We start from the raw sequence: 19,663 nt of genomic DNA, 5'->3' as shown, positions 1-19,663 counted from the left end.
GAACCCAGAAATAAATGTACGAAGTTTAACATCAGCATCTCGTGGCCTTTAAGTCAAATTGGACAACCATTCAAAGCTTCATAAATGCTAACTGCTTCTCATGACTTCAGAAGCAAACAAAAAAATCATTATTCAAATGGGAAATTAAGCTGATCATCAGAAGTACAGAGAGGATGTCCTTTCTTAAAGGCGGCACGTCTAAGGGAGTGTCTGAGACCTGGCTTCTTCATTCAGGATGGAGGCTGCTGCTACTCTTTAAAAGAAATGTTCACATCCTTACTTCCTGACTTCCTTCTATAACACAGTCTGCTTCACAACACTATGACTTTATATGTCAGAGCGGGTTAGGAGGAGCTGAATCTTAAAAATTTAAGAAGATGCCAAGGTCTAGAAACCACTCTTAACAGGGGAAAATTAGACCCTGCTTGCTTTTGGGAAAATTTGTTTTCCAGTCAGATGTTTGTCAAGGTTAAAGAAATTCACGGGCCCTCTGTTCGAATTGGGAGCAATTGGGAGCCCTTAAGCTGAATGAGTAGACTTGAAGTCCCACTTAGAATGAGCCTTTATATTTTTGTTCTGTGGCTTGCTCAGGGAAGGGATACACACTTGGGGAGAAAAAGACTTGGATTCTAGTTGATGTTTTTCTCCTAGCTGACTAGGGAATTCAGAACAAGTTACTAAGAGCTTTCTAGTCCTTAGTTCTCTCATTTGGAAAATGAAAATTTTAAATTAGAGATTCTATTTCTAAGGCACCATGTATTTCATTTTCTTAATAAAAAGTATATATATTCCCCTAAAGAATACTCATAAGAAAAAGGTAGAGTTAAAATTTCCCAAATTATTTAATTCCTGGTTGCCCAGTAACCATTAAATTTCTCAGCAGTCAGGCAAGAACCACATTCCCACCTTGAGACAAGATTTAGGCCTTTCCAAACTTACCCTCGGGCTCTGTTCCAAGTTTATTTGTAAGTCAGTTGCATACAATTTGGAATGAAATGTGTTATAAATGGTGGTTAGGTCCCTAAGTCACAGAATCTTAGTTAACCCTCAGAGTGCCTGATATACTGCACCATGTAAATAGAAAGCAGCTGTATGTTTCTATGGGAGCAAAAAACTTTTGTAGGAAAAATGGTAGAAACTCGTACTGCAGGTGTTGATTATTCAGCAAACTTCTCTAGATAAGGAGGACTGGGAACTTCATCATTATTGGTCTAGTTACATTCCTGGTCACTCCCTCATCCCATTGACTGGTCAGTTTCCCTCCCTGTGGTCCTTGTGCAAGGGTTTCTGCCTCACCCCATACCCTCTGCTCCTTGCCCGGTATCATGGTTCTTCTGAGGGTACTACTGCCCATTCACCCTTGTGCTAATTAGGATTACACTGGGTAAGGAAAGACATTTGTTCTGTAGCGGAGAAGCGGGGAAGGCCATCAGAGGCTTTGAGTGTCAGAAAGATTTGGTCTTGAATGCAGGCTCTGGGATGCAACCGTAGGGAAGTTACCAAACATTTGTGAGCCTCATTTTATCTTTAACAAAGCTGATAATACAGAACTCAGGGCCTTGTAAGGACTCGATGGTATCAGGTACACACGACATTTGCCCTTGAGTGCTCAGCGAATGTTAGTATTCCTTCTGCCATCGGCCTGTCACTTCCGTTTTTCTCTTTGGCTCTACAGGGAATACTTGCATACAAAAAGAGCTGAAGTAAGAGTCACCTACATCTTAGGAAAAAAGGGCTGCTTTAGGTTTATCCTCAAGTAGTTTTGTCCAGGATTCTGAGGAGAATAAAAGCTGGGTCAGATCCAGTGTGTTGAAAAGAAAGCTGAGGTGAGAAGTGAGAGAAACAGAGAGGCAGAGAAAGGGGGAATGAGCCCTGTCTGCTATGAAGTAGGAGGCAATCCAAAAGACAAGGAATCCGTGGTCATTGCCACTGAGAGGAGAAAGAAGGCAAACTCACTCCTGTGACTTCAGGGCCATCCATGAGGTGGGCAGAGGAACTCAGAGTCTGCCCGATTCTTGGATTGAATCTTCAAATTGGTAAAGCTTTATATCAAGCAACTCCCAAATGCAGCATAGTTTTGAGGTGATAAAGAAGAGTCTTTTCAAGGCTGGGCACAATAGTTCACGCCTGTAATCTCAGCACTTTGGGAGGCCAAGGCAGGCAGATCACTTGAGGTCGGGAGTTCGAGACCAGCCTGGCCAGCATGGTGAAACCTCATCTCTACTAAAAATATGAAAATTAGCTGGGCGTGGTGGTGGGCACCTGTAATACCAGCTACTTGGGAGGCTGAGGCACAAGCATCACTTGAACCCAGGAGGCAGAGGTTGCAGTGAGCCGAGATCATGCCACTGCATTCCAGCCTGGGCGAGAGAATGAGACTCCGTCTAAAAAAAATAAAAATAAAATAAAAAGAGTATTTTCCCGGAGTACCGGTAATATTGGTTCCAGATTCAAATGTATTGTCCAGATACACAGAGGGTAAACAGGAACGCTTCAGGCATCCTTTATTAAAAGCACCTCAGTCTATGTCAGAGGGCCAGGCAGTCCATTATCTAATGAAAATCTCCTACCATTGATTTATTTTATCATAACTGCAGCTGCTAAGTAATTTTGTTTAAGGAATGATTTACATATTAGTGTCTTCAGCAGGATCTCATCATTAGCATCTAGTCTCCAGAAAAGTTAACACATAACAGTGAAAAGAAAACATTCTCTATCACATGCTTCTGCATGCATGGGCAATTTGAGTCATACCACCTGTTCCCCTCTTCTGTTATGCTAGAGTATACAAAAAGCAGAGATACGCATAGTTTACTATGATCCTAGATGCTTAAATATCTTGAATTGTGTTCTATCTTGGACTCATTATTCATGCATAAAGACTCAACAGATTCTCTTCTTGCACCTCTCAAACAGCAACATCAACAAAACCCAAACAATGTATCTTTCCTAATGAGGTGAAAGCATGCATACCAGCCTAAGACAGAAATGTTGCAAAAATGTTTTTTGCAAGAAGGTCAGTTTGCTTTTCCCATGGTAACTAAGGTTAATTTCTACTGTGGTTCATTTTGGCATCCATTTTATTCATGATGATTATTAGAGGGCATGGATATTGGGGGTGTGTTGATGTTGGGCACCAGAGAAATGGAAAGAGGCAGATGGAGGATGCAAATCATTTTCACTCAGAACCTAAAATGTTTACTGTTAGATAAAGGGTAGAGAAGAATCTTAATTTGACTGTCAAAACATATGATTAGTTGAAGTTACCAAAACTATTTTTTTAAATAACATTTATCTTAAGAGCTATAAATAAAGAGGAAATTTTGCACTAGAGATGAAGTTATGAACATTTCATTAACTCTAAAGAGTTAATGAAAAACTAGTTGATTATATGTGTTCATTTATAGGTTGACACGTGAATTTCCAGAGAAGTAACTTGTATGTTTTTAAATTCCAATCCTTATCTTACATCTGGGCAGAATCAGACTTGTGAACGTCCCATTCCAAACAAATGGCTAAACACTTTGCAGACTTTGTCTAGAAGAGTGCCTTACCCATATAAGCCCTCTGTTATAAAATTGTTTTAAACGTTAAATTAGCTGTCAAGCTGTTCTGCATCAGTGGCACCACCTGGTAGCAAGGATGGAGATCTCTGCCACCCAAGATCTCTTTAGTGCTCACGTCATTTCTCCACCGCAAGGAGGATTGCGGGGGTGGACGATGCTCCCTATTTAGTCTTCTGCATTTTGTTGCTTACAGTTCAATTAACATGTCAGTTAGAGATGACTTTTGGTTGCAGTTAATAAAATATCTGACCAATTGTATCTTAAACACAGAGGAGTTGATATTTTTTGTAGAACAAGAAGTCTGGAGGCAGGTAGTTGAGAGCTATGGAAGAGTTCCGTGATGTCATCAGAGACCTGGGCCATGGTTTATTCTGCTGTACCATTTTTAACGAGTGACTTTGGTCCTGATGGTTCCAAGACGACTGCTGCTTCTCAGGCAGGAAGAAAGAGAAAGGACGTTCAGCCTCAGAGTCTCTTTGTCTTTCCATTTGGGAAGGGAAATCCTTTCTTGCAGATATCTTCTCAAGCATTGGCCAAAACTGTGTCCACACAGCTTCCCCTGGCTGGATCAGGGAATTGAGATCCTCCAGCCTTTGTAGCAGAGAAAGACCAAGGAGAAAGAATTTGGGAAGGGGTGTTGAGTGAGCCAACATACAGTTATCTGCCACAATTAAATACAGCGGATTCACCTTGCAAATAAGCATTCTTTTTAGACCATTTATTTTCTTTCTCTCTTTGTCCCAATTCCTTTATTCCTTAGGAAAGTCTTGATATCTTTGTGAGGTGTGTTTCAAAAAAGAAGCTCCAGCTCAGGTTGTAAGGAGTAAGCAAAAATAATAATTCCAGTGATTCAGCCATAGAAGTGGAAAATTATATTATTTGAAGAAAAATTAGATGTAAAATCAATGTCATCGACAGCTTAAACCTGGTAAAAGCAAGGAAGTTCCTTTCAGAATCTAATTTTATTCCAAATACATTTATTGAGCACCATCATTTATTGCCCTAGATGCCAAGGATAAGTGAACACAACATGACCTCTTCAGAAGTCTGCATTTTTCTCATCTTTTTTCCCTCAAGTATAAGAATGAAAAATAAAGCTATTTCTAATTAGTTACATCAGTCATTTCTATCAGTATTACTATAGATTTTATTTTTATTGTATACTGGATATTTAAACTAAATTTAAGCCTTTGTGGGCTTAGAAATTACTGTTTCATGAGTAACATGGCTTATGTAGGAAATTTCCAATGCCATTAACCTTAAAAATGTTCATTGGAATACTGCTTATGTCATCTTGGAAACTACCTTTGCGGTTGACATATAAACTGCACGATGGTCTATTTTCATTATATGTTTCTGTATGTACATAAGCATCCTCATGATAAAGATTGTCTACTTGATCAAACTTCAGCCAGACTCCTGAACCTTCTCCTAGGCCCACCTGTGCACTTCTTTGTAAAAATCCAGCTGTAGCGAGAATCCTGCTAAATCAGTTTAGCAAGAACCACCTTCCTCTTATGTATCTGATCAGGTTCCTCATCCTCCACCATCCCCCATGTGACGTCTGATCACCCTGGCCTGTGTCTTCAGCAAGGTTCCTGTTAAGTTTTTTTTAGCTAGAATCCCCCTTACCCCCATGCTTTCTCTTAGTAGTTTTCCATCCACCAAACCCCACCCTGCTCCTTGGCTATCAATTCCCACTTGTCCATGCTGTATTCAGAGTTGAGCCCAGTTCTATACTGAGGTCTCTTTCCCACTATTGCAATATTCCTGAATAAAATCTGTTTTTACCACTTTACCGTCCATCTCTGGTTTTTCTTTGACACTCACATAACCAGAGTTTTGTATGTGTGTGTTGCTTGACACATCACAAATACCTGGGATACGTGTACTGATTTTTTACAGGGTGAATAATCTTTTTGTTTTCCCCAATATCTTAGAAACCTGAATCTTTAACCCCTGGGCTTAGTACACAGTTAGGCATATAATAGGTGCTTAAGTAAGCGTCAACTGATGATTTTAAATGCAGAAGTAATTGTCACTTAATGAAATATAGTCAGGAGACTCATGGATTTTGGCCTGTCTTCCTACCTGTTCTTGTACTGCAACAGTAAGTGTATTAAGGCAATATTTTTGGCAGCACAATCATTTAGTTTGAATGCATTAGTAAAAGGTGGAGTCCAAAGAATTAATCGCTGGAAAGTTTTGGGAAAACCCAGTAACAACTGTTTCCATAGAGTAATTTGAGTGACAGCCAGGTAATAGCTACTTATTGGAGGGACTCCACAGTCAGAGCCTTGACAGGGACCTGAAAAAGAGTGTAACTGAAGGGTAAATGTAAAAGCTTTTGGGAGAACAAGGGAGTGGTCAGGCTGAGGCAAAGATCTGAAAAGAAATGCCTCCTGGGGCCAAGCTGGTAATTTGAATGACTGAAGGTGACTGGGTGGGAACTGGGGCAACCTGAAAAGCTTCTGTTAGGGTAACAGAGCCTCCGTTGCAGCTGACTGTTCTATGAGAATGTGAGTCTCTATTGTCAGGTCTTCAGGTTCTTCCAGAGAAGCAAGACAACGGGAAATCACCAGATTTTTAACTAATGGCGTATCATTCAACAATTTCAAAAACCATTATGTGAGCCCAAACTGACCAACGAATCAAACACACACACACACAAAAAAAGAGTCTGCAGACTAAATTCAACCAGTTGGTGACCTCTGGTCTGTGGTTACCAGAGAAGTAATTGAAATGGAGTTTTGGGAGAAAGATCATATGTTGAAATCTTGGGAGATAAGGGCAGAGAAATAAGTAAGCCGAGACGGCGGTAAGGCCAAGGTAGAAAAGGTAGCCTTTAGGAAAATTAAGTTAAGACTTTTTAAAACAGGAAGGGGCAAAAGATGAGGTTAAAGCAGATGAGGAAATTTACTGTTATTTATTTTCATCATTAAAATACGCTTTCCACAAATTTTTCAACTGTAAGAGAGAGTGATAAATTCAAAATAGGTAATGTCAACCATATTATGAAGAGTATGTTTTTGCAATCCAAAAAAGCTAAGGCACAACATTAAAAAAAAAAATCTGTGAATTTGGCTTTGCAAAGGTATAAGAATTAAGTCACATCTGATCATTTTTAGAGTCTTACCTTTTATAACAAAGAGGAAAATTTAATTAAACTGGCTCTGCCCTGGCGAATCTGGGATGTGTGTTCACTTATGAAGAGAGACTGTTAAGATTCGTTAATTAATGAGGTTGAGAATAGAGTTGAAGGAGATTGGGGTAAATTTATAAGTTTGTGTCATTCTGAGAGTTCTGTAAGTAGCTGAGTTACCCATGTTGTGACTGAGAAAAACAGGAGAGAGCAGTGACTGAAGGTTCTGAGCCAAAGGAGGAGAATAGTATTGTTTATTCCAGCAGCCAGAGTGGCCTGTGTGACTGTAAGTCGCCTGTCAAGAGGGAGACTGCAAGGAAAGTGCATTGATTTGATTTGGAGTAGTTGTAACTGCAGCATGAAGAATATGATATATAGGGATGATAATTGAGGAACAATTTAATGGCTGCATACCTTGCTGAAGTTGAAGTTCCTTCTGGAGATAAAGGTGGCAAAAAAGAAAGTGCTTAGGTAGAAGAGCTTTTTAAAATGAGTTAACAGAAAACAGCAGACTAAATATGGAATTGAGGAGTAGGAAATGAAGGAAATGAATTTGAAGATTTACTTTCTTTCAGGATGCAGAGCTGGTATGTAATCCCTCTGTTTCCAGTGCCTTCTCCCACTTCCAAATTTCACTGCTCCTCATGCGCCCTGGTGTGTGGTGCAGCTTCGAGATTAAGCCTCCAGCCTTCTGTCAGGATGAAGCAGCAGGTGGCTGAGATGCTAGGCTCCAAGTGGGGGAGGTGTTTAGGGCTCTAAAGACTTTCAACCAGTCCTTGTATTTTCAGCCACATTTCAGTCTTCAGAGGAACCTGGAGCCTTTCATTTCTGAGACTTCTTGGCTACATAAACTGGCATGCGTCTTGTTAGTTCCTCCCACTCCCTGCCCCAATCTCCTTGTCTCCCCAACATCATTAATTGAGCTTGGGATTTCTCTGGTCTCCTAAGTTGGTTACCAGCAGGTCATTTTCTAAGCCACCAAAATACTGGAGCTCTGATCTGTTCTCATCTCCTCTCCTGTTTTGTTAATTTTCTTTTGGGTAAATGCCATTTTTTATTCCTCTTCTATCAACCTGGTAGAGTTTCAGGGATAAAGAGAGACAAATGAGTCTGCTCCATCTGCTGTGTTTAACTAGAAGTCCCAACACCCAAAATCCTTCACACGATGTGCAGGGCTCTGCAGTGGGCCTCCCCCTGCCTACCTGTCAGGCCTTATCTGTGCCCACTCTTCCTCCTTCCTCTCTGAGATTTCAGCAATATTGGCCTTCTAAGGATTCTTAAAGCCCCACCTTCTTCTCTGCTTCAGAGCTTTTTTTTTTTTTTTTTTTTTTTTTTAACATGTGCTGACCTATTACGCTGCTGTGTTCTTACCTGGCACGCTCCCATCATCCTTCAAGTCTTTGCTTCAATGTCACCTTCTCCAAGAAGCCTCTCGGACCTATGTTTCCCTATGTATACAGTCTCATCACTTCCTGTGTGTTTCCTTCACCATTTTACCACAGTACATATGAATATTTGTTTGTTAGTTTGTTTGAGACGGAGTTTTGCTCTTGTTGCCCAGGCTGGAGTGCAACGGCACAATCTCGGCTCACTGCAGCCTCCACCTCCCAGGTTCAAGCGATTCTCCTGCCTCAGCCTCCCAGGTAGTAGCTGGGATTACAGGTGCCTGCCGCCGCATCCAGCTAATTTTTTGTATTTTTAGTAGAGACGGGGTTTCGCCATGTTGGCCCAGGTGGTCTCGAACTTCTGACCTCAGGTGATCTGCCTGCCTTGGCCTCCCAAAGGCTGGGATTACAGGCGCGAGCCACCGCACCTGGCCTACATATGAATATTTGATTATTATCCATCTCCTTCGCTACACTGCAAAGTCAATAAAGGCAGAGATTTATTTTGGTTACCAGTGTATTCCATGTACTTGGCATGGTTCTTGGCTTATAGTACATGCACAATAAATATTGAAAGGATAGATGAAAGGATTATGGATAGATGAATGTCTTTTAAGCAGTTATAAAACAGTTCTGCCTAAAGAGTCTTTTTTAATCAGTAGTATTACTTCAAATACATATTTAAATACACATATGTTATAAATATATAAAATATGTATTTAAATATGTCATTTGTACTATTTTAAATGTATTTAAAATAATATATGTTATATATTAAAATAATACTAATGATTTTTAAAAGATCAGGCAACACTGCTTTGTAGCTTTTTAGAAGACATTTATCCTTATGGATCCATAATTATTATGGATTGTATGTTTTATATATAATGAAGGTTTTGGGAGTTAGAGCCCTGATCCTTCCGCTCTTGAAGCTTGATTTAAAGGAGCATGGCACAGTGGTGCCTATATGAGTCAGCCCTCCATTATCTGGGGCAGAATTCAGGCCCCAGAAATGGTACTTAAGATACACAGTTCTCCCCCAGAAAACTTTATATCGGCCATTTGTTACAGAAACTGCTTTCTCAACAAACCTTTTACCAGGGCAGCTAACAATGAGCAAAACTAATTTGAATTTCAACTCTGCCATTATTACAGTGTTGCTAAGAAGTAGTGAGATTCTGCTGAGGAAGGCCAAGCAAGAGGAGGGAGCCAGAAATGCCTTAAACAATCCACAGCCAGGATTTTGTGCTATCTTTTATTTCACAGTTGAACTTCTCAGTATTTTTTGGTTCATAACCTTTTTCTCTTTTCCTCAATTCTGAGTCTTCCACATTTGTGCCATACTAGGTACTTTATTGCTTCTCTCCCTTTTTTTTTTTTCTTGAGATGGAGTCTCATTCTGTCGCCCAGGCTGAAGTGCAGTGGTGCGATCTCAGCTCACTACAACCTCCACCTCCTGGGTTCAAGCAATTATCCTGCTTCAGCCTCCTGAGTAGCTAGGATTACAGGTGTGCACCACCATGCCTGGCTAATTTTTTTGTGTTTTTAATAGAGACGGGGTTTCACCATGTTGGCCAGGCTGCTCTCGAACTCCTGACCTCGTGATCCGCCCGCCTCGACCTCCATAAGTGCTGGGATTACAGGTGTGAGCCACCACACCTGGCCCTCTCCTTCATTTCTTAGAAGAGTTTTACAAAGTCATTGGTGATAAATAAGTAATACCATTTCACATCTGGAAACATAACTTGATAGTAATTATAAATTCACAGACTGTACTTTCTGTACTTATCTAAGTATGAATGCATAATTCCTGTTTATCTGTGTGTAGGTTTATTTTTCCCCCATTTAAGTAAAGCTCTATGTTGATGATGAGGTTTTTACGAGTTGAGATTTTAAGAGGCCTCAAATATATCTAAAAAATTATAGACCAAGTATGATGTGTTAGTGTTCCTCTTCTCTCAGCTAATTCTTTAAAGATATGTTCCAGAATTCCTGGTCTGTTCTTGAAGATCTCCCAATAATTCTAGACTTCTGAAGCCTGGATATTTTGGCTTAATTTGCTTTCAAGACAGACTGGATTTAAATTACTCAATTTGTCTGAAGTCTCATTAAGATCCAAGGTTCTTGTCTGTTCTAGTGAGTTTGAGCTGGCAAGAATAATACTTGTCATCTGAAAAGTCCATTAGAATCCTTTGGAGGAGTGAGACTGGAAAATTGGAGACATATTATTATATTTTAAAATATGCCACCTTTCTATAATAGGAGTATGTGGGGAGACTGCCTTGTTTTGGCTTCTTGGGAAAATTTGGAAAATTAGTAAAATAGGCAGGCAGTAGTAGTTCAATGCGTATTGTATGCCAAACACTGAATTTAGAACAATACTCCCCCAAAAGCATATGTGCTCTAAATTTTATTTTTCACTTACCACCTGGGAGATTTGGATTAAATTTCTTCTGGGAAATAGAGTTGGTATGAAGAAACAAAGACCACTATACCAATTTATCTGTTGGAATAATCATTTAGCCGTACAGCTCTTTCCACTCATAAAGTTAATGAGGTCATTATTGTTCTTTCTAGCTAATAGATAGGCATATTGAAACCTTAGGCCTTTCCAAAAAGTCTCCATAAGCCATTGGAAAGATAGACTAAAACACTCCTTGTTTTAAATTCTAGACCTCAGTTCAGTCAGAGATAGTAGGATTTTTGCAGTATTATTAAAAAGACAGAAACCAGCTATAAAATTGAAATGAAGGGACTTAATGTTTTTTTTCTGTAATATCTTTGGAATGCTTCCATGGCTTTAAAATGCTGAGGTGTTTCTCACTATTTTTCAAAAGCATGTAACATGTAGATATGTGACGCAAACTTGACCAGTTGTTCCTCTTTTCTGGTGAATTTTGACACCTGCTACTATTACACAGAGTAAAAGTGAAAGTCATAAAACAGAAATACTTACCAAAGTCAAGAAAAATGCATAGACTAAACAAAGGGGCAAGAGAAGCCTATTACTTGTTTCATGTTTCAAAATAAAAGATGAATGGCCTATCACTTCAGTAGTTGGAAATTCAACTTGAGAAGGTAGGTGGTTTGATGTTTGCCCTTGTTCCTTACGTTTCTAGATTTCTCTATTTATAGGCTAGAACCAGCCCTGGATAAAATAATACAAGTTATGAAGAGAAATGTGCAGTTCAGCATTTTTACCCTTCTGAAGTGCGCTTTCTCCCAGCTGCCATGGAAACATGGCGTAACTGGTTTCTTGGATAGTCTCACTCCTCTTGAGTTCCGGCTGTGAGAGCTAGTGAGCTCATTACAACTTGGATCAGAGTCCTGGAAAGTCAGCTCCCAGGGAAAGTGGAGGACAGTCTCTCATGGGGCACGGGAATGGGGGGCTTTAGCTTTATTAAACTGCATACATACTTTCACTACACAGTCATCCCAAGCTTTAGCCCAGGACAGTGTCACATTGTTCACAGCTGTATTGCATCTTGAGGTTTCTGTGTGCATCCTACACACTTTCCTAAGGCAGAGACTTATCTCTTCCAGCTGTAAGCCGGAGGGAGTGGTGCTGCAGACTCCTAGCAACACATGCGGACTCAAACAACACAGGCAGTTAACTCTCTTGAGTAGTAGACTTGTAGGGCACCAGAACTCCGTTGCAGTTCACTGACAGTTACCAGATATACATTTGTATGGCTTCCGTAGCATTGTGATGGAAGCTAAACGTTTGCCCTGCTACTTTCTTTTTTTTTTTTTTTTATTTTTTTATTTTTTTTTTATTATACTTTAAGTTTTAGGGTACATGTGCACATTGTGCAGGTTAGTTACATATGTATACATGTGCCATGCTGGTGCGCTGCACCCACTAACTCGTCATCTAGCATTAGGTATATCACCCAGTGCTATCCCCCCCACTCCCCCCACCCCACCACAGTCCCCAGAGTGTGATATTCCCCTTCCTGTGTCCATGTGATCTCATTGTTCAATTCCCACCTATGAGTGAGAATATGCGGTGTTTGGTTTTTTGTTCTTGCGATAGTTTACTGAGAATGATGATTTCCAATTTCATCCATGTCCCTACAAAGGACATGAACTCATCCTTTTTTATGGCTGCATAGTATTCCATGGTGTATATGTGCCACATTTTCTTAATCCAGTCTATCATTGTTGGACATTTGGGTTGGTTCCAAGTCTTTGCTATTGTGAATAATGCCACAATGTGAAGGACCTCTTCAAGGAGAACTACAAACCACTGCTCAAGGAAATAAAAGAGGATACAAACAAATGGAAGAACATTCCATGCTCATGGGTAGGAAGAATCAATATCGTGAAAATGGTCATACTGCCCAAGGTAATTTACAGATTCAATGCCATCCCCATCAAGCTACCAATGACTTTCTTCACAGAATTGGAAAAAACTACTTTAAAGTTCATATGGAACCAAAAAAGAGCCCGCATTGCCAAGTCAGTCCTAAGCCAAAAGAACAAAGCTGGAGGCATTCCCTGCTACTTTCTTCTGGTATGCCTGAATCACTGTTTGAGAATGGATTGGACTTTGGTGCGTGGAAAACTGGTAGCAGAAGGCTTATTCACTGCAGTGGGTTGGGGGTAGGCTGAAAAGATGTCAGGGAGGATTAACTAGAGGCAGAATGTGTCATAGTTAGAAGTATTTAGAAGGGAAGAAAGTTTGAACTCTGATACTGTTCCACACTAATATTCATGCCCTGAAAGAATCAGATCATTCTTGCCTCTCCCACTTGGATCTCTAGCTACTGGAATTTGCCAATTCTTGATATGAACGCTAAGATTTGGATGGAGCTTGTGACCTCATTTAGACCATTTGTTCTAAATGCTGAATAGAACCAGGAAAATAGGAAAAGAGGGTAGAATTGGGGTCATAAGAGAGGAATCGTCGTTCTTTGAAAGAAGAAAGATGATAGGAAACTAGGCACATGAGTTACGAGGCAGTGGAGAAGGAGGATTAGAAAGGGAAAAAAAGAAGAGAAACTTTATGCCAATATCTTCTACAAGATGTTTGGCTGGCACAAAACTAACACTCAATACTTTTGCATAAGTAAAGGAATGAGAGAAAATTTGGGATTGGATGCTTATCCCCTGGAAACTGCTACAGGCTGGTGTTAATGGGAAAGGGATCTGTATTTGACCAAAAGTGCATTTCCACGTCTCTACATTTCTTTTTATAAAGAGTCAAAGGGACTCAATGATGAGTGTGTGTGTAAGGGAACTCCACACTAGCAAGTACAGGAAAAATTTGATGGTACTGGTGAAGGATGTTGCACCAATCTGGAGGGGAGGACAGGAATTGGTTTCTCATGGATTGATGCCGCAAGACAATTCATACCATGAGTTGGCTGAGACCACTTAAAAAAGTAAGCAGTGATGACTGGGCAAAAGAGACAAAGGAAGAACCACATCTTTTAGGGGAGAGAGAGAGAAGGACAATTAAAGGGACTCAACTAGATCAAGTTCTGCTCACTAAAGGACAGCGTCCAGGCAAATGTTAATTATCTTCAAGAAGCAATCTGTATATATAGCATTTCAAGATACTCCGAGATGCTTTTAATTTATTGAATACTTTTTATTGGTATTTATCATAAACAAGAGACTCACAAATATATCCCAGAGGGGAGGTTTTGGTGTAGTTGACTATAGTAGTTATTAAATAATCTATTAATAAAAGCCCACAAAATGGAAGATAGAAAGATAGAAAAACAAAAGACAACACAGGATGGTGTTGGTATACAGAATTTATACTTGAAGTTTAACAACACGGAACAAGAAACTTTATTAAAATATTCATTTAAAGAACTTCCATATGAATCACCAGAGGCTCTTAGTAAAATATTGATTCGGATTCACAGATCTGGGTGGGGCCTGAGATTCTGCATTTCTCATAAGCTCCAAGCAGATACTGATGCTATTCTTCCTCAAATCACACTTTGACTAACAAGGACTCACACAGGTTCTCTGTAATTGGTGTTGGTAGTCATTCATGGTTAGATGTAGTTGAGGACTGCCCTCTTAACTACCTCTCGGCTGCCAGGTTATAAAGAAAGCAAGTCTCAGTACAAGTTCTGTCACTTAGGAGCATTTATTAGCCAATGGGTACAAAACAATCTTACAGCCTGTGCCAGAGACACAGTGAAGTCACAGTTCTGTCTTTTGGGGTGCTTGGTGTGAGAGGCTCACAGTCTACACAGGCCACAGTCCTCTATTAGAGTGGTTCTCAAAGTGTGGTCCCTGGACCAGCAGCATCAGCATCACCTGGAAACTTGCTAGAAATTCAGATTCCCAGGCCCTTCCCATACCTACTGAATTAGAAAATCTGGAGGTGGGGCCTAGGAAATCTGCATCTTTAAACTATCCACTCCAGGTGATTCTGATGTTTGCTCAAGTCTGAAAACCATTGTTCTAGCAGCAGGATTCCCTCAACCATCTAACTGAATTCTGGCAACTAAGAATCCGGTGAACCACAGCTGGACATTTTGGAATTCAGCCTAGGGCACCATTTCTAAAGATGGAGAACCTACTGGATTCTTCTTAAACTCAATTTAAAGGCAGGGAGTGTTTCTAAATGTTTTTCAACAATCTTCATATTTTGCAAACCACTAATATCACTACACAGGCCCGTCTAACTATTAATTAGGAAAATTAATGAAACCCCTGGTGTAATAAGAGCTAAATATAACTGAATCACTTACAGTGGCCGCCTGTGGCATGAGGCTTTTTGATTAATTGCTAGCCAACCACCCTTGGAGTTCACTCCTGATTAAGACAACTGACCACCTCTACAGTGTAGCTTAAGCTAACACACACATACATCAGAGTGTACTGTTCATGTGAGGGTTTTTAAAGACTCTTAAAATTTACCTTATCAGGGCATAATTTAAACACTATAACATGTTTCCATTTTAAGTGTTCAGGTTAGATTTTGGCAAATGTATACACTCGTGTAACCACCATGCCAATCAAGATATAACATTTCGATCACCTAGAAAACACCCTTGTGTTCCTTTGAGGTCAGTTACCTACTCCCACCACACCCCAGGCTACCATCTGGCATAGTAGCTAAGTTTTGCCTGTTCTAGAAGTTGATATAAGTGAAATCAAACAGTATGTACTGTTTTGTGCCTGGCTTCTTTTACCCAGCTTAGTGTTTTTCAGATCAGTTCACATTGTTGCATTATCAGTAGTTAGTTCCTTTTTATTGCACTTTGCACAGTAGTATCCCACTGAATGACTTTACCACAACTTGTTTATCCATTACCTTACTGGTTGGTTTCCGGTTTTTGACTATTATGAATAAAGCTGCTATGGATATTCATGTACACATCTTTTTGTGGACATACATTTTTTTTTATTCTGTGCAAATATCCAGGAAAAGAATATTTGAGTCATAATATACATGTGTGTTTAATTTCATAAGAAACTGCCTAACTGGTTTCCCAAAGTTGTCGTACATTCCCAACAAGCAGTGTCTGAGAATTCCAGTCGCTCCATATCCTCACCAACATTTGGTATTCCGGTCTTTTAAACAAAATTGTATGCTGAATAGTTTAAATTACAGACATTGTTTTCTTTCCCCTAGTTGAAATTCAGGCTTTTATGTTTGGTCTCTGCGATGGCCATAAAGCTGAAAATGTTGACCCAAGTGACTTGGATATGGATTGAATTATTGCCCTTTCCTAACACCTCATCAGAATTGGTTTCGTAGGTGTCATTTGATTATGGCAGTCATGTATGTCAGTGTACTTTTTCTTTCTTTCATTCTTTTGTTTATTGATTCAGTTGGTCAGTCGGTCCATGATCTGTATTAAAACAGCTTTTTCAGAGGGCAGTTGCATATTAAGTTGCTAGGAAAAATGACAGAAGTAGGTGACAGAGTTCTTGTCTTCAAGGAGCTTTTTGGAGCTGAGTTCCTGAAATAAATGTAGCCCAGTATCTATCAAGGCTTGTGCAGACTTGAGTAAGAACATCATCTAAATATAGCTTCCTGCTAGGTGGCGTGAGTCAGGGCTTGATAGACCGGTGACTGCAGAAACCACAGTAACATATATTGTTGTTATTCTGTGCTGAACATTAGAATGATTGTACCTTAGAATATAGAGCCAAATGTTTATTTTATTCCTAATTATATTTTTAAATACATATCACACACATAGACACATATGTTGGATAAAAAATACTCAAAATGTTAACAGTGCTTATTTAAAAGGTTTATATAAACTTTTTTTGTAGAGATGGGATCTCACTATGTTGCCCAAGCTGGTCTTAAGCTCCTGGCCTCAAGCAGTCCTCCCACCTTGGCCTCTCAAAGCGTTGGGATTACAGGCATGAGCCACTGAATCCAGCCAGTTGTGCCTATTTTTGAGTTTATGGGCTTGTGGATGATTTATTTGATTATATATGTATATGTTAAATGTCTAAGTTACCCAAAGTGAGCATGTATAACTTCTACAGTCAGAAAAAATGTTATATTGCCACTTGATTGTTTAAGGTCTTATAGCTATTTAAATAATGTATTTCTTGTTCTCTTTAATCTTGTGCAGAAAAGATTCACTACAGTAGATCCAGATTACTTTCTAGAAAAAAATAATGCCTGTCCATCTCTTTCCTCTTGGGAACAGGACTACATGAATGCCCTTCAGGCTATACCACTTTAGTCTTCACAGAACTTAGCCTTCCTGGTTGTCAAAGGGCAAAAGGAATTATTTTTTCTTTTCCCCACGTTAACAGAATTTTCACCTCCGAAAGCTTGGCGTATACACACTATATGTTTTCTAGGCTATTTTTGTGGTGGTTGTAGTTATTGGCAAATCACTGGGCGTCGGGGGTGGGTTGTCTGTTATTTCTGATGGAATAACAAATGCTCTTTGTTTTCCCTCTTTTCAGCTGACCTGAATAATGTCAGATTCTCAGCTTATAGGACTGCCATGAAACTCCGAAGACTGCAGAAGGCCCTTTGCTGTAAGTATTGGCCAGTATTTGAAGATCTTGATACTATGTCTTTGCTTAGAATAAAAAGTAGGTTGGGTACATTTTTACTTAGAGAGGGGAGAAACAGCTGTCACAATTCCTGTTGCAATGTATAATTCATTCTTTAATGTATCCTTGGCCTAGAGTTTGCCTAGAATGTTTTGTTTTATTTTTAGAATCATTCCTGTCACCATTCCTCAGCTACTGATGTTGAATTAAGATATTGAGAATTTTTATTTTCCAACTACTGGCATTGGCATCGGCATCCATAATTACCTTTGTGAAACTTGCACAATCCTTGTTCTACCTTTGTTTTTTTTTCTTTTTACAAAATGTACTTAGTATTAGAAGACTATGACTATCTGATCTAAACCAAACTTCATAGACATGTGTGGTTTATTAGCTTGAATGCTAACGTGCAGATGAATGAAGTGGTAGAGGAAAAATGACAGAATTGCTTTCCTCCTTTTTTATCATACATCTGTGGAAAAATCCTGAAGTGTTACACAGCTCTATCATGTCATCAAATAGTTTATGTATAACTCTACTATTGTCTGAGGGTCTGTGTGCATTGATGATATGCCCATGAAACAGGCACAGTTTCTTTTTCTTTTTTTCTGTTTTTTTTTTTTTTTTTTTTTTTTTGAGATGGAGTCTTGCTCTGTTGCCCAGGCTGGAGTGCAGTGGAGTGGCGCAATATGGGCTCACTGCAACCTCCACCTCCCAGGTTCAAGTGATTCTCCTGCGTCAGCCTCCCAGGTAGCTGGGATTACAGGCATGCCCCACCATGCCCGGCTAATTTTTGTTTTTTGTTTGTTTGTTTGTTTGTTTTGTTTTTTTTTGAGACAGAGTCTCGCTCTGTCACCCTGGCTGGAGTGCAGTGGCGCGTTCTAGGCTCACTGCAGACTCCACCTCCCGGGTTCACGCCATTCTCCTGGCTCAGCCTCCGGAGTAGCTGGGACTACAGGCACCCACCACCACGCCTGGCTAATTTTGTTTTTGTAATTTTAGTAGAGGCGGGGTTTCACCGTGTTAGCCAGGATGGTCTCGATCTCCTGACCTTGTGATCCGCCCTCCTCGGCCTCCCAAAGTGCTGGGATTACAGGCATGAGCCACCACGCCCGGCCTAATTTTTGTATTTTTTAATAGAGACGGGGTTTCACCATGTTGGTCAGGCTGGTCTCGAACTCCTGACCTCAGGTGATTCACCCGCCTCAGCCTCCCAAAGTGCTGGGATTACAGGCGTGAGCCAATGCGCCCGGCCCAACAGGCACAGTTTCTGCTCTGATGGAACTTACAGTCTAACAAGGGATAACCAGGATGTTCATGAAATTTGTAGACATAAGCAAATATATGTATAATGTATTAAGAATGTCTACAGTTGGTTAAAAAAATAAAGTGATCTTGTCTCTATTTCCAAGACCATTTCAATGTCATATATTTAGTTGTGCAACAGTGGGACAATGGGGTACTATGTGAACAGCTAACTGTGTGGAATGAGATTCAAAGAATGTTTGTTTGAAGAGGTGATGTCTAAGCTAGGTAACTCTAGAAGAGTAAGCAGCTCTCTCTCTAGGAAGAGCGTTCTAGTCAGAAAGAAGAGCATGTGCTGAAGGGCCCAGAGAAAGCATGACACATTCAGGAACTGAAAATATGTCAGTATGGCTAAAGCACAGAATTCCAGGGGAAAGATCTATTGTGAAATAATAGGCTGGAGAGAGAAGCAGGAAGCAGATTGTGCAAGGTTTTTAAAACCCAAGTTAAGGAATTTAGAGGTCAGGGGATTTGGCCTGGGGGTGACATAATCAGATTGTCGCTTAGAAAGATGATTCTTGCTGTGGAACAGAGTATGGATTGGTGCGATGTGGGAGTGACAGGAGAAAAACCTGTTGCAGTAATCTAAACCAGCAATGTGGTGGCTTGAATTAGCAGAGTAGTAAGGGAGATAAGTGGAGAGAATTTAGAAATATTTAGGAAGTGGATTTGACAGGCCTCAGTGATTCATTTGATGTGGTGCAGGGATGTCCAATCTTTTGGCTTCTCCGGGCCACAGTGGAAGAAGAATTGTCTTGGACCCCACATAAAATACACTAACGCTAACGGTAGCTGATGAGCTAAAAAAAAAAAAAAAAAAAAAAAAATCGCAAAAAAAAAAAAAAATGTTTTAGGAAAGTTTACGAATTCATTTGGGCCTCATTCAAAGCCATCCTGGGCCACAGGTTGGACAAGCTTGATGTGGTGGGTGAAAGGGAGTCAAGGAAGACACTTAGGTGCTTGGCTTGGAATATCAGGTGAATGTGGGACTTGTCTGGTAAGGTTAGACACGGAGCTGTGGTGCTCAGGAGAAATATACAAACAACGTTTAGGGATCATGAGCCTGTAGGTGCTGCTTGTAACGGGGGAGAGGATTGGATAGCTCCAGGAAAGTGTAGCGTGAGAAGGGAAGTTATTTAGGACACAGGATAAGCAACCTACAGAAGGGACTGCAAAGGAATGGCCAGGAGGAAAGAAGGAAAATTCCAAGAGGTTATGATGCCACATGCTCCATGGGAAGAAAGAAAGAACCCGTTACCAGG

General features: G+C 40.1%; 1 protein-coding gene across 26 annotated transcripts in view, besides 3 other annotated features; it reads left to right on the top strand.

Moving 5' to 3' along the window:
• Positions 1-19,663, top strand: part of DMD (dystrophin) — a 2,220,167-nt gene that overhangs the window by 2,099,264 nt on the left and 101,240 nt on the right. For all 26 annotated transcript variants that reach the window (XM_006724469.4, NM_000109.4, XM_011545467.2 and 23 more), the window contains 1 exon segment: positions 17,004-17,078. In XM_006724469.4, coding sequence (XP_006724532.1) covers positions 17,004-17,078 — 75 coding nt within the window.
• Positions 3,673-3,742: an enhancer, noted in NCBI's record as "active region_29514". NCBI's record gives its function as "activates an Ori minimal core promoter by ATAC-STARR-seq in GM12878 lymphoblastoid cells {active_cell/tissue: GM12878}" and the evidence as "EXISTENCE:reporter gene assay evidence [ECO:0000049][PMID:35858748]".
• Positions 10,892-10,941: a silencer, noted in NCBI's record as "silent region_20728". NCBI's record gives its function as "represses an Ori minimal core promoter by ATAC-STARR-seq in GM12878 lymphoblastoid cells {active_cell/tissue: GM12878}" and the evidence as "EXISTENCE:reporter gene assay evidence [ECO:0000049][PMID:35858748]".
• Positions 12,539-12,833: a silencer, noted in NCBI's record as "tiled region #11226; K562 Repressive non-DNase unmatched - State 24:Quies". NCBI's record gives its function as "represses a minimal TATA promoter and a strong SV40 promoter by Sharpr-MPRA in K562 cells {active_cell/tissue: K562}" and the evidence as "EXISTENCE:reporter gene assay evidence [ECO:0000049][PMID:27701403]".

The sequence above is a fragment of the Homo sapiens genome, chromosome X, assembly GCF_000001405.40.
Source record: "Homo sapiens chromosome X, GRCh38.p14 Primary Assembly".
Lineage (NCBI taxonomy): Eukaryota > Metazoa > Chordata > Mammalia > Primates > Hominidae > Homo > Homo sapiens.
The sequence above is the reverse complement of the archived record's forward strand: the minus strand, read 5'-3'. Positions and strand labels throughout refer to the sequence as shown.